This window comes from Homo sapiens, chromosome 5 (genome assembly GCF_000001405.40).
Source record: "Homo sapiens chromosome 5, GRCh38.p14 Primary Assembly".
Classification (NCBI taxonomy): Eukaryota; Metazoa; Chordata; class Mammalia; order Primates; family Hominidae; genus Homo; species Homo sapiens.
The window spans coordinates 113,340,227-113,356,435 of NC_000005.10; the positions used below are offsets into that span (position 1 = coordinate 113,340,227).

At 39.6% G+C, this 16,209-nt stretch overlaps 1 protein-coding gene across 1 annotated transcript in view; it reads right to left on the reverse strand.

The window, feature by feature from the left end:
• The window catches only part of MCC (MCC regulator of Wnt signaling pathway), a 466,348-nt gene that overhangs the window by 318,121 nt on the left and 132,018 nt on the right, over positions 1 to 16,209 (reverse strand). The window contains exon 3 of the mRNA NM_001085377.2: positions 293 to 504. Coding sequence (NP_001078846.2) covers positions 293 to 504 — 212 coding nt within the window. The remainder of the gene's footprint in view (positions 1 to 292; positions 505 to 16,209) is intronic.

The following is a 16,209-nucleotide window of genomic DNA, read 5'->3' on the forward strand; positions in this document are numbered from 1 at the left end:
TAGTCTAGTTATGGAAGAGCTGTTGTGCATCTTCTAGTAATTAAACCTGTGCAAGTTACAGCCTTAATCAAAACACCTTTTAGGAGTCTACTCTGGTCTCCATGAGAGTGAAGTCCCTAAGTGCTGGCAACTTTGGAACACTAAACATTACTGGCAATGCTGGAAATGGTACAATATTTACCGCAATAAAGAAGACAATACCCGATATGTCCCCTGGAGCACAAAATTAAAATATTTGTATTGGAATACAGACAGGCCGAAATATGTATTCCATGAACCAAAAAGTACTCACTGTGTTGGCCAGCTCTAGATAGCTTCCTCCTACAGAGTTGCCAATGTGCGGGGACTGTGTGAGCAGTTTGTGGAGAGCAGCCTGCTGATGCAAAGAGCTTCCGCCATACTCGAGCAGCTTCTGGAGGGCTGACTGGCTCTGCACATCCGGGCTCTGGAGGTCCCTGGCACCAGAGTCGTATTCCCAGCTCTCCCTGGCTGCTGATAAGGCACCTAAGTCCGAGAGAAGCAGAGAAAATGAAAAGACATTTCCTTCATTAGCCTGTGGGTGGCCAATAGGCAATGATTTGGAACCTCCTAAGCCTTCCATGTGCCAGCATCTCAGAACACATGTGATGCCCAGGCTGCATGCTAAGCGCTTTCTCTTTCAAACTGACACATGGGGAGCCTGGAGATAAAAGCAATTTCAGGCAAAGCATTCAAAAACAACTGTCCCATGAATATGTGCTCCCTAAACAGAAATGCTTAGCAAAAAAAGCACTGGAGAGCCAAGTAAAGGGAATCCAGATCAGAGTCACATCTGTGATTTGCACAGGGCTACTACATTAGCCTTAGCACTGGTCATTCTTTCTCCCAACTGAGGAAAAAGGAAGCAAGAAGAATGACAGGAAGTTAACATATGGCACTTTATCATGACTCTCTTTTTCTCCTTCCTTCCTTCCTTTCCTTCCTTCCTTCCTTCCTCTCTGTCTCTCTTTCTTTCTCTGTTTCTTTCTTTCTTTCTTTTTTTGAGGCAGGGTCTTGTTCTGTCATCCAGGTGGGAGTGCAGTGTTGTGATCACGGCTCATTGTAGCCTCAACCTCCTGGGTCAAGTGATCCTCCTGCCTCATTAAAAAAAATTTTTTTTGTAGACCTCATTTCTATACTATGTTGCCCAGGCTGGTCTTGAACTCCTGGGTTCAAGAAATCCTCCTGCCTTGGCCTCCCAAAATGCTAGGATTACAGGTGTGAGCCACTGCAACCGACAGTATCATGACTTTCTACTGTTGATGTACTCTTACCTGAAGGAAGCTAGACTGTATTTTCCAGTTAGGGATAGCAATGAAGCTGAGTTCTGGGCAATAGAATATGAACAGAAATGATAAGCATCACTGCTGGACCTTGCTTATAAAGCCCCACAGTGTGTGATTCTCCATGCCCTTTGCCTTCTGGCCTGGTTCAGATGGGAATGGTACCCTTGGAAACCATGTGGTACAGATGGTGGAGCCACAAGGTAGATGGAAGATGCCTGGATTCCAGAATCATCACTTGCAGAAGAGGTGTCTGCTCATCCTAAGTACCCTATTTTGCCCTAACATGATTAGAAAAGAAAACTTTTTTTTACATGTTTTTTATTTCATAGGTTTTTGGGGAACAGGTGGTGTTTGGTTACATGAATAAGTTCTTTAGTGGTGATTTCTAAGACTTTGGTGCACCCATCACCCGAACAGTGTACGCTGTGCCCAATGTGTAGTCTTTTATCCCTCACCCCCCCACTCACACTTTCCCCCAAGTCCCCAAAGTCCACTGTGTCACTCTTATGCCTTTGAGTCATCATAGCTTAGCTCCCACTTATGAGTGAGAACATATGATGTTTGGTTTTCCATTCCTGAGTTACTTCACTTAGAATAATGGTCTCCAATTCCATCCAGGTTGCTGTGAATGCCATTATTTTGTTCCTTTTTATGGCTGAATAGTATTTCATGATGTATATATACCACATTTTCTTTATCCAGTTATTGATTGATGGGCATTTGGTCTGGTTCCATATTTTTGCAATAGCGAATTGTGCTGGTATAAACATGTATGTGCAAGTATCTTTTTCATATAATGACACTTCCCTCTGGGTAGATAACCAGGAGTGGGATTGCTGGATCAAGTGGTAGATCTACTTTTAGTTCTTTAAGGAACTTCCATTGTTTTTGATTCACTACATACTTTTGGTTTGTTGATTAGAGCAGCTAGTATTACCTTAATTATTACAGACGATTAGAAGGTAATAAAACATGCTAATAGTTATAATACAAATGGGAAAGTGCAATGAAAAAGTAGAACTAAAGGAAGGATATCTAACTCAGTCCATCTGGAGATGAATGGGGAATGTTCAGGGAAAGCTTCCTGGAGGAGAAAGCCTGATGCTTGAGTTGTCACTCTTTCCAGAAAAAAATAGATTTGAGGTAAACCTGTTTCCTTGTGTTGTTCACTTCAGAATGGAAATGTCTTGTGGGTGCATCTGGTTGGTGAAGCCTAGGCTGCATGCCTCTAGCTGCAAGGAAAGCTGGGTAAATGTGTTTTCTGGTTTTACTTTAGAGAGGTAGTATTGATAAGGTGAGACATTTCCTAAACAGAAGGGTGCTCAAAAGGCCTAGGCAGCCACAACACAAACAACGGTCTATGCACAGGACGTGTACTGGGTCCTGGGGATATAGCAGTAAGCATGAGAAATTATAGTCCCTGCCTGCAAAGATCTCATTCTGGTAGGTCTTTAATACATGGCTTTTAATGACAAAAAAAAGGACACAAAATGATCCAGTTTGTACTATGAAATGAGAACATATACAGATTACTCTATAATTTACTTGAGAATAATTACATACAGCAAACTGCAGTTTGTGTACAGTGAGTTCTGATATGAATGTCCAGTCTCCTCTTATCAGGTATTGATGAATTTAATCAATGTGAATAGGAAAACTGTCTTCAGATGGTTTCCCCTTACTGTTCTGGCTCTACTGATCCTCTCCAGTCGGTCTAACCCAACATTCTTTTTATACAGTGCCTTTATAGCTGGGATGCATCAACTGTTTTGTATCAAAGCAGGCAATTCTGTCACTATATTTGCAATTGCTCCAAGTTTACTTTAATGTTAAAGTCTATTGATTGTATTGCAAGGCAGGTTCTTCTTTCCTTAACATAGACTGCCAAATGCCTGCTCTCCCTCCCCTTGTTCCTCTGAACACTGTCTGTTATCTGCCTAAATGCCTCAGGGCCTCTGTTCTGGCTCCAGCAACATGTGGCAAGAAGACTAACAGAGGTCAGCGTTGAAAAGTGGAGTCCCCACATTGGACTGAGTCACAGACGGACTTATATCTCATACATAAGACAAACAGACAGAGGGCTGGGCCTTGCCTTATATGTTCACCACAGTACTCTCAGCACCGTGCACATGGCCTGTGACATAGATAGCATTTAATAAACATTTATTGAATGGATTGCTGAATTATCCATGGTTGTAGTACCCTACAGTTTCACTTTTTAACCTAGAAATACAACATGGGAATTAAGTCAAAATAAATTATACATTTAAACTTTTTCTTTATGCAAACATGAAGCCTCATTCTCAAACAGGAAAATATAACAGTTCTGAGGTGGAGCAAGATGGCTGAATAGAAGCCTCCACCAATCATGCCCCTGTGCAGGAATACCACATTTTAACAACTACCTACACATAAAAAAGCACCATCATAAGAACTAACCATCAGGTAAGCAATCACAGTACCTGGTTTTGACTTCCTCTCACTGAAAGAGGCACTCAAGAGGTAGGAAAGACCGTCTTGAATCACCAACACCACTCCTCCCGTACTCTCCAGCAGTGGTTATGTACCATGGAGAATCTGTGCTTATGGGAGAGGGAAAGCACAGCAAGTGGGGGACTTGGCATTGAACTCAGTGCTGCCCTGTCACAGCAGGGAGCCAAACTGTGAAGACCTCAGTCATTGCCCACCCATGGAGGGAGCATTTGGATCAGCCCTAGCCAGAGGGGAATTGCCCATCCCAGCAGTCGGAACTTGAGTTTCTCAGCAAGCCTTGCCACCGTGGGCTAAAGTGCTCTGGGGTTCTAGGTAAACTTGAAAGGCAGTCTAGGACACAAAGACTGCAATTCTTCCTAGGCAGATCCTAGTGCTGGGCTGGGCTTAGGTGGACTAGGGCAGCATATGACCTGTGAGACATCACCCGGGTTGGCTAAGAGAGGGCTTGCATTACCCCACCTCAGTAACCCCAGGCATCACAGCTTGCAGCAAAGAAAGTGACTTGTTCCTTCTGCTTGAGGAGAGGAGAGAGAAGAGTAAAGAGGATTTGGTTTTGCATCTTGGAAACCAGCTCAGCCATAACAGGACAGGGCACCAGGCAGAGTCATGAGGCCCCCCATTCTAAGGTCTAGCTTCCAGACATTTGTAGACATACCCTGGGCCAGAAAGGAACCTTCTGCCTTGAAGGAAAAGACCCATTTCTGGCAGGATTCATCACCTGCTGACTAAAGAGTCATTGGGCCCCGAATAATCAGTAGTAGTAGCCAGGCTGTACTTGCCGTGGGCCTTAGGTGAGACTCAGAGCTATGCTGGTTTCAGGTGAGTCCTAGAACATTCCTACCTGTGGTGTCTACAGTGAAAGACTCCTTATATTTGAGAAAAGCAGAGAGGAAAGTAAAGAGGACTCTGTCTTGCACCGCAGGTACCAGCTCAGCCACAGTGGGGTAGAGCAACAAGCAGGCTCTTGGACAGCATTTCTGGACCTGCCCCGGGCCAGAAGGGAGCCCACTGCCCTGAAAGTGAGTCCCAGGCCTCACAGCATTCACCAAAAGCTGACTGAAGAGCCTTTGCACTTTAAGGGAACATTGACAATGGCCTGGCAGAACTCACCATGGGTCAGTGGTGGTGGCCACTGAGAGAGGCTCCTCTGCCTATGGAAAGGGGAAGAAAGAGCAGGAAGAACTTTGTCTTGTGGTTTGAGGGCCAGCATAGCCATATTAGAATAGAGTACCAGGTAGATTTTACGTTTTTTTTTTACTCCAATCCCTGGCTCCCAGACAGCATTTCTGACCTGCCCAGAGCCTGGGGGAGCTCACTGCCCTGCAGGTGAGCACATAATCCTGGCTGGTTTCCCAAACTGCTGACTATAAAGCCCTAGGGCCTTGAGTGAACATAGGCAGTAGCCACATAGTGGTTACAGTGGGCCTTGGGTGAGATCCAGTGCTGTGCAGACTTCAGGTCCGACTCAGTGTAGTCCTAGTGGTGGGAACCACAGGGGTGGTTGCATCACCACACTCCCAGTTCTATGTGTCTCAGCACAGGGAAAGAGAGGCTTCGTATGTTTGGGAGAAAGTAAGGGAAAAGAACAAGAGTCTCTGCCTCGTAATCTGGAGAATTCTTCCAGATCTTATCCAAGACCACAAAGGTGGTACCTCTAAGAGTCTGAAAAATACACAGTATTATTGGGCTTGGTGCCCAAGTCCCTTTGGATACTGGAAGGCCTTCCCAAGAAGGACAGGCACAGACAAGCCCAGACTGTGAAGACTACAATAAATACCTAACTCTTCAATGCCCAGACACTGAATAACATCTACAAGCATTAACACCATCCAGGAAAACATGACTTCACCCAAAGAACTAAATAAGCCATCAGGGACTAATCCTGGAGAAACAGAGATATATGACCTTCCAGACAGAGAATTCAAAATAACTGTTTTGAGGAAACTCAAAGAAATTCAAGGTAACACAGAGAAGGAATTTAGAATTCTATCAGATAAAGTTAACAAAGAGTCTGAAATAATTAAAAGGAATCAAGCAGAAATTCTAGAGTTAAAAAATGCAATTGACCTACTGAAGAATGTATCAAACAGATCTCTCTCCCTGTGCTGAGCCACCTGGAGCTTGGAGAGGGGTGACACAAGCACAGTCAGAGGAGACAAAAGAAAAAAGAATAAAAAAAATGAAGCACGCCTACAAGATCTAGAAAATAGCCTCAAAAGGGTAAATCTAAGAGGTATTGGCCTTAAAGAGGAGATAGAGACAGAGATAGGGGTAGAAAGTTTATTGAAAGGAGGTGGGGCACAGTGGCTTATGCCTGTAATCCCAGCACTTTGGGAGGCCGAGGTAGGTGGATCACCTGAGGTCAGAAGTTCAAGACCAGCCTGGACAACATGGTGAAACCCCATCTCTACTAAAAATACAAAAAAAATTAGCCAGGCGTAGTGGTGGGCACCTGTAATCCCAGCTACTTGGGAGGCTGAGCAGGAGAATTGCTTGAACCTGGGAGGTGGAAGTCGCAGCGAGCCAAGATCATGCCATTGTACTCCAGCCTGGGCAACAAGAGTGAAACTCTGTCTAAAAAAACAAACAAACAACAACAACAACAACAACAAAAAAAACAACAAAAAGTTTATTGAAAGGGATAATATCAGAGAACTTCTCAAACCTAGAGAAAGATATCAACATTCAAGTATAAGAAGGTTATAGAACACCAAGCAGATTTAACCCAAAGAAGACTACCTCAAGGCATCTAATAATCAAACTCCCAAAGGTCAAGGATAAAGAAAGTATCATAAAAGCAGCAAGAGAAAGGAAACAAATAACATACAATGGAGTTCCAATATGTCTGGAAGCAGACTTCTCAGTGTAAACCTTACAGGCCAGGAGAGAGTGGCATGACATATTTAAAGTGCTGAAGGAAAAAAAAAAAAAACCCTTTTACACTAGAATAGTATATCTGGTGAAAATATCCTTCAAACATGAAGGAGAAATAAAGACCTTCACAGACAAACAGAATCTGAGGGATTTCATCAACATCAGACCTGTCCTATAAGAAATGCTAAAGGATATTCTTTAATCTGAAAGAAAAGGATATTAATGAGCAACAAGTGCTCATCTGAAGATATAAAACTCACTTTCAATAGTAAGCACACAGGAAAAGACAGAATATTATAATACTGCAATTGTGATATGTAAACTACTCTTATAAGTAGAAAGACTAAATGATGAACCAATAAAAAATAATGACTACAACAACTTTTTAAGACATAAACAGTAAAATGAGACAGAGAGAAAGAACAAAAAGTTAAAAACTGGGGGGAAGATGTTAAAGTGTGGAATTTTTATTAGTTTTCTTTTCGTGTTTTTTTGTTTGTTTATGCAATCAGTGTTGTTATCAGTTAAAAATAATGGGTTATGTATACATATGTAACAAACCTGCACATTGTGCACATGTACCCTAAAACTTAAAGTATAATAAAACAAAACAAAAGTAATGGGTTGTATTACTTGCAAGCCTTGCGGTAACATCAAATCAAAAAACATACACTGAATACACAAAAAATAAAAAGCAAGAAATTAAACCACACCACCAGAGAAAATTACCTTCACCAAAAGGAAGACAGAAAGGAAGAAAAACAGGAAGAGAAGGCCACAAAATAATCAGAAAACAAATAACAAAATGGCAAGAGTAAGTCCTTACTTACCAATAACAACATTAAATGTAAATGAACTAAACTCTATAATGAAAAGACAGAGTGCCTAAATGGATAAAAAAGCAAGACCAAATGACCAAATGACCTGTTGCCTACAAGAAACACGCTTTACCTATAAAGATACACACAGACTGAATAAAGGGATGAAAGAAGATATTCCATGCCAATGGAAGCCAAATAGTAGCTCTACTTGTATCAGACAAAATAGATTTCAAGAAAAAACTATAAAAAGAGACAAATAAGCTCATTATATAATGATAAAGGGGTCAATTCAGCAAGAGGATATAACAATTGTAATTATGCACCCAACAATGAAGCACCCAGATATATAAATATTATTAGAGCTAAAGAGAGAGAGAGATCTCAATGCCATAATTGCTTGAGACTTTAACACCCCATTTTCAGTGTTGGACAGATCTTCCAGATAGAAAATCAGCAAAGAAACATTGGACTTAATCTGCATAATAGAACAAATGGACCTAACAGATATTTACAGAACATTTCTTCAAGGTCTGTAGGATACACATTCTTCTCCTCAGCACACAGATCATTCTCAAGGATAGAATATATTTTAGGTCACAAAGCAAAAGTATTAAAACATTCAAAAAACTGAAATAATATCAAGCATCTTCTTTGACCACAAAGGAATACAACTGGAAATCAATAACAAGAGGAATTTTGAAAATCGTACAAACACATGGAAATTAAACAATATGCTCCTAAATAACCAGTGGGTCAATGAAGAAAATAAGAAAGAAATGGATAAATTTCTCAAAACAAATGATAATGGACATGCAACATTCCAAAATCTATGGGATACAGTGAAAGCAGTACTGAGGGAAGTTTATACCTACCAATGCTTACATCAAAAAGTAGAAAAACAAATAAACAACCTAATGGTGCATCTAAAGAACTAGAAAAGTAAGAGCAAATCAAACCCAAAATTAGTAGGAAAAAATAATTATAAAGATCAGAGCAGAAATAAATAAAATTGAAATAAACGAAACAATACAAAGGATCAATAAAGCAGAAAGTTGGGTTTTTGAAAAGATAAATAAAATTGACAAACCTTTAGCCAGACTAAGAATAAAAAAAGAGAAGACTCAAAGAAATGATATCAGAGGTGAAAAAGGAAACATTACAACTGATACTGCAGAAATTCAAAGGGTCATTAGGTGGCTACTATGAGCAACTATGCCAATAACTTGGAAAACCTAGAGGAAATGGATAAATTCCTAGACACATACAACTTACCAAGATTGAACCATGAAGCAATCCAGAACCTGAACAGACCAATAAAAAATCATGAGCGTGAAGCCATAATGAAAGTCTTCCAGTAAAGAAATGCTGGGACCCAATGGCTTCACTGCTGAATTCTACCAAACATTTAAAGAACTAATGCCAATCCTACCCAAAGTGTTCAAAAAAATAGAGGAGGATAGAACACTTCCATACTCATTCTATGAGGCCAGTATTATCCCGATACCAAAACCAGAAAAAGACACATCAAAAAAACCTACAGGCCAATATCCCTGATGAACACTGATGCAAAAATCCTCAACAAAATACTAGCAAATTGAATTCAACAACACATGATAAACTTCATTCATCATGACAAAGTGGGATTTATCCTGTGGAAGCAAGGATGGTTCAACATATACAAATCAATCAATGTGATACTCATATCAACTGAATGAAGCACAAAAACCATATGATCACTTCAATTGATGCCAAAAGGTATTTGGTAAAATTCAATATCCCTTCATGATAAAAATCCTCAAAAAACTGAGTATAGAAGGGATATACCTAAACATAATAAAAGCTAAATGTGGCAGACCCACAGCTAGTATCATACTAAATGGGGAAAAATTGAAAGTCTTTTCTCAAAAATCTGGAACATGACAAGGATGCCCAGTTTCACCACTGTTATTCAGCATAGTACTGGAAGTCCTAGCTACAGCAATCAGATAAGAGAAAGATATAAAGGGCATCCAAACTGGAAAAGAAGTCAAATTATCCTAGTTTACATAGGATATTATCTTATATTTGGAAAAAACTAAAGACTCCACCAAAAAGTTATTAGAACTGATAGACAAATTCAGTAAAGTTGCAGGATACAAAATCAACATACAAAAATCAGTAGCATTTCTATATGCCAATAGTGAACAATCTGAATAAAAATTTAAAAAGTAATCCCAAGTATAATAGTTACAAATAAAATTAAATATCTAGAAAGAAATTTAACTGAAGAAGTAAAAGATATCTATAATGAAAACTATAAAACACTGATGAAAGAAATTGAAGAGAACCCCCCCAAAATGGAAAGATAATCCATGTTCATGGACTGGAAGAACCAATATTGTTAAACTGTCCATACTACCCAAAGCAATCTACAGATTCAATGCAATCCCTTTCAAAATACTAATGACATTCCTCACAGAAATAGAAAAAACAATCCTAAAACATACGTGAAACCACAAAAGACCCAGAACAGCCAAAGCTATCCTGAGGAGCAAAGAGAACAAAACTGGAGGAATCACAATACCTGACTTCCAATTACACTACAGAGCTAAGTAGCCAAATGGCATGCTACTGACATAAAAATAGACATATAGGCCAGTGGAACAGAATAGAGAACGCAGAAACAAGTCCACACACTTACAGTGAATTCATTTTTGACAAAGGTGTCAAGAACATACATTAAGGAAGAGAGTCTCTTCAATAAATTGTGTTGGGAAAACTGGTATCTTATTCAGAAGAATAAAACTAGACCCCTATCTCTCACCATATACAAAAATCAAAATAGATTAAAGAGTTAAATCTAAGATTTCAAACTATGAAACTATAACAAGAAAACTTTGAGGAAACTCTCCAGAACATTGGTCTGGGCAAAAATTTCTTGAGTAATACCCCACAAGCACAGGCAACAAAAGCAAAACTGGACAAATGAGGTTACATCAAGTTAAAGAGCTTCTGCACAGCAAAGAAACAATCAACAAAGTGAAGAGACAACCCACAGAATGGAGAAAATATTTGCAAACTACCCATTTGACAAGAGAATAGTAACCAGAATCTATAAGGACCTCAAACAAATCTAAAGGGAAAAAAATCCAATAATCTGATTTTAAAAATGGGCAAAAAATATGAATAGAGATTTCTTAAAAGAAGACATAAATAGCTAACAGGCCTATGAAAAGGTGCTCAACATCATTGATTATCAGAGCAATGCAAATCAAAACTACAATGAGATATCATCTCATCCCAGTTAAAGTGGATTTTATCCAAAAGACAGGCAATAATAAACACTAGTGGGGATATAGAGAAAAGGGAACCCTCATACACTGTTGGTGGGAATGTAAATTTGTACAACCACTATGGAGAACCATTTGGAGGTTTTTCAAAAACCTAAAAATAGAACAATCATAGGATCCTGCAGTCCCACTGCTGGATATATACCCAAAAGAAAGGAAATCAGTATATTGAAAGGATATCTACACTCCCATGTTCATTGCAGCACTATTCACAATAACCAAGGTTTACAAGCAACTTATGTGTTTATCAATAGATGAATGGATGAAGAGAACATGGTACATAAATACAATGTACATTTTTTATTCAGCCATAAAAAAGAATGAGATCCTGTTATTTGCAACAACATGGATGGAACTGGAAGTCATTATGTTAAATGAAATAAGCCAGGCACAGAAAGACAAATTTCACATGTTCTCACTTATTTGTAGGAGCTAAAAATTAAAACAATTGGAACTCATGGAGATAGAGGATAAGGATGGTTACCAGAAGCTGGAAAGGGTAGTGGGGGAAGTAGAGGGGAAGTGGGGATGGTTAATGTGTACAAAAAAATAGTTAGAAAGAATGAATAAGACCTACTGTTTGCTAGCAGAACAGGGGGACTGTACTCAATAATTTAATTGTGCATTTAAAAATGATGAAGAGAGTATAACTGGATTGTTTGCGACACAAAGGATAAATGCTTGAGGGGATGGATACCCCTTTTACCATGATGTGATTATTATGTACTGCATGCCTGTATCAAAGTATCTCATGTACCCCATAAATATATATACCTAAATGTACCCACAATATTTTTTAAAAATACAACTGTTCTGGGGTAAGACAGTCAAAGGAAGCTTCATTTGAAATTTATTATGCCATGTTAACAGACCTAAACCCAGTTTCTGGCAGAATCACTTAATTAGGTTAGCCAAGCTCTATATTAATCAGCAAGATTTAAAGACCTTCATATTATTACCATAACAATTTTTGCTGAAGTGATGCTGAAAATCTCAGATCTTCTGCTATGGAGCCAAAATCAGTCATAATAGCTTCCACATAAATGGACCATATAAAGGGAAGTGGACTTTTAAAAAAACTATAGTAGACTGTTCCCATTACTCTCTTTTAATCTGTCTTCATGTTAAATTTTTTCTCAATAAAAACCAACATTCATGAGACAAAAACTAGTCATTTAATTGTGATGATGTCACTGAAAAACTTTGAAAATGCAGGTCTGGTAACCATCTTCCTTTTGCCCTTTGAAGCATGATGGTACCTGATGGCTCATATGCAGCCTCTTGACAGCCTGTGTTCACCTCCTTGTGAACCTCAAATTGGTTCCTGTGCTCCAGGCAAAAATAAATAAATAAATAAAAGGCTTACTATCTTCCCATATTTTTTCCTCTTCCCTCTCTTTCTCCTGTCTTCCCATCCTTTCTGCTTGCCTGCCCTCCAACAGATTTTGAGAACTCACTAAGTAATAGATTCTACAAGAAATACTAGAAATATTAATTCAAAGCTAAGACAAAAATCTTTGCTGTAAAGAGCTCACCATCTGGTGGAAGGGTAGAAAGTTCTATGACTTTTCTGAAGCATTCAAATTATTTCCTTTTTTTTCCCCCTGCATCAGCACGGGGGGCAGTGGGAGAAAGGGTTCATGAATGCACTCTCTCAAATTTCACTTTTATCAGATCTATAGTAAGAGATGAGGAAGGGGCTCCTTTTTCTTCTCAACATTTGAATCGGTATTTGTGTTAACATGAATGTTCTTTCCTTAATGTTCAAGTGATTCTTCGTCAGAAGAAACTTTGTAAATACATCATCAGGTTACAACCCTCAACTCCTGCTTAATATTGAGTACTGTAAGTGAAAGAAAAATTAAGAATGTAATTTTAATATGATTTGGGTTTTGTCTGACATCTGCACGTTAGGTCAATGGTCTCATGAGCCCTCTTGTAACATGGCTTTTCATATGCCTGTTCCCCACAGGGTTATGGCTCTGCTTTCTTCTCCTTGACATGGACACCACTGTGTCAATGTCTCCTGGCTCACGAGGTTCCAGCCAGGCTGACCTTCTGTATCTTCTGACATGATGGGTGCTTTCAAGGCAGAGGCCTTTCACGTGCTGTTTTTGTGCTGGAAATGCTGCTCCTCACATTCTTTGCTGGGCTCAGGTCTCAGACTTACTGAGTTCTCGAACAAATGACAAGGCCATTGTTAGGAGCACTCCTAGCACTCTCTCCACTCTCAGGCCAGACACAGGAGGGTCTGGGGGTTCATGAGCACTAGCTTTGGCTTTGGGCTTTCTGCATTTGAGTCCCAGCCATGTCCTTAGCAACAGTCATGAGAAGGTAATGAGAAGGATGACAGTGTTTATCACTGTCATTTTATGTCATTTTATTTGTTTATGAAAAAAATAAAGATTATACATTTAAACCTCTCTCTTTATGGTCTCTCAATACTACTTAAATGTCAGTTCCCTTTTTGTTAGCAGGCTTACACACATAAATTGCCTACTAATAAGCAAACATAAGTGGTCCCACAGATATACGTAAACATTTAAACCAATATAGAATTGATAACCTGTGAAAGCCTCCTTAAATATTCAATCTGGTCTAGAGGGTCACCCGTAGGATTCTAAACATTGATCAGTCTACACATGGTTAGGCTCCCTATACCAGTCTATACTGGTCAGTTAGCAAAGTGCATGAGGCACTTTAGACATGTTGTGATATTTTTATTTTTAGCTGACCGTATGAAGATAGATACCTATCAACTGACATAGCCACATGCACAGGACTGTTTTCTACAATAGCTAGAGTGGACAATGGAGAATTCTTTAATCATTTTTCTTTTCAGGAATGGTATGAAGACAACTGACAAAGGTCACTTCTAGGAACTAATTTCTTCAAAAGCTTACCACTGTTCCATTGTCCACTGAGAGTCAATATCAGCAATTTGCCAATATAATTCTATTGATTAGGACAAGCTAGATTATGCTGCAGTAATGAAAAGACCCCTTCCCTCCCCACCAAATCTCAGTGGCTTAAACATAAAAGACTTATTTCTCTGCACACTGCCATCCAAGGGTCAGCAAGGCCTCTGCTCATTGTAATCACTCAGCACTATCTGTCACTGTCTAGCAGACAGAGAGTATTCTAGAGGGTCTGACACTGGCAATTGAATGCTCTGTTGCACAAGTGACTCACATGGCTCATAACCCACTGGCCAGATATAGTCATATAGCCCAACCCTACCCTGAAGGGATCCCAGTCACGTAATCTTACTAAGTGTCCAGAAGGGGCAAAACTGGAAACATCTGGTGAATTACAAGAACAGAGTTTAATATTGATTGGATTTTTATATTATCTCAAATATGATAACATCTGAGGGATTCTTTTCCTTTTTCTTTTTTTTTTTCTGAGACAGAGTCTTGCTCTGTCGGACAGGCTGGAGTGCAGTGGCACGATCTCGGCTCACTGCAATCTCCACCTCCTGGGATCAAGCGATTGTCCTGTTTCAGCCTCCGGAGTACCTGGGATTACAGGCATGCACCACCACACCCAGCTAATTTTTGTATTTTTAGGAGAGACGGGGTTTCACCATGTTGACCAGGCTGGTCTTGAACTCCTGACCTCAGGTGATCTGCCCGCCTCGGCCTCCCAAATGCTGGGATTACAGGCATGAGCCACCGTGCCCGGCCCCTTTTTCTTTTAGACTTTTTATTGTACTATGATCAACCATATACCCTGTATTATTATTATTATTATTATTATTCAACATCCAGAATTAATGGCCTTATTAAGACCTTATTCTTGGCCTGTTAATGCAAGAATGTGGCAATAGCACTTTGTTCTTACGTAGAAAAATATTTAGAAAAAAAGATAGTCTTTTTTTCTGTCTCAATATTCTTATTGAGAAATCTCTGTACATGTATATATGTATGTATACACATATATATGATATAGATATGTGTATGCAGATGCATATATTCCAGCTTTTATATTAATGACTGAAGAAGGAAATACTATGTTAAAAAATAGTGGCATAAGAAAAAAATCCTAATTCGCATTTTGCCTGTATTTTGACAATCAAAAAAGAACTATAAAAATAAATGCTGACCAACCTCACCTTAGTTAAAGCATCCAGAGAAAGATCAGGTGGGTTGGTCAAAGGAAGTGCAAGACATGCCAACCTCAAAGGGCACCAACAAGGACCTTTTACCAAAGCTAGAGGATACTCTTGGGTTTGGGAATTTGCCTTCTTTCAACATTATTTCTATTACCTTTTAAAACTGTAATTTCATCTCACCCCTATTGTGCATTTCATAGGTCATCTCCTAAAGAGCTAAAACAAAGAGTCAAACAGAGTACTAATAGGTAGGCAGGGCTCACTCATACCAGCACTCTCTTCTTATGCTGGTTTTGCTTAAAGGCTCCTCAATGAAGAGATAACCACTATATTAGTCTGCTTGGGCTGTCATAACAAAATACCAAAACTTATGTGGCTGATGCAACAGAAACATATTTTCTTGCAGTTCTGGAGGCTAGAAGTCCAAAATGGGGTGCCAGCATGGTAGGGTTCTGGTGGGGTTCTGGCGAGGGCTGTATTCCTGGCTTGTAAGCAGCTACCTCTTGCTGTGTCCTCACATGGTAAGAAGAGAGGGCAAGGTCAAGCTCTGCAGTGTCTCTACTTATAAGGGCCCTAATCCCATCATAAGGCTCCACCCCACGATCTCATCTAACTTTAATTACCTTCCAAAGGCCCCATCTCCAAATGCCATCACACTGGGGGTTAGGGTTTCCACATACAAATTTGGGCACCGGGACACAAGCATTCAGTTCATAACAGCCACTAAGCAGTTTCTCTCCAGGCCAGTAAGGAAGCTGCATGGCATCTGGCATCCCTGTAAGTAGACATCCAAAGCACTCCCTGTGCCCAGAGGTGGTCTCTGCACAAACAGAAGCAAAGGAGGCCATCATATCTGCCACTACAACAACTATTGGGTCCTTTGAAGTGACAGGCAAGGTGTATTTTTTTTTTTTTTTTAGAGACAGGGTCTTGTTCTGTCACCCAGGCTAGAATGCAGTGGTACAATCATAGCTCACTGTAGCATCCAACTCCTGAGCTCGAGTCCAGGAGTGATCCTCCTGCCTCAGCCTCTCGAGTAGCCTGGCTAAGTTTTTTATAGAGACTGGGTCTCACTATGTTGTCCCAGTTGGTCTTGAACTCCTGGCTTCAGGTGATCCTCGTGCCTCGACCTCCCAAAGTACTAGGAGATATATATAGCATTTATATATGCATTTATATATAATATGCCAGCAAAATATATATTCTAATAGATAATATTATATATTTTATATAAATATATATATCAAGTTTTAAAATATATATATATATAATTT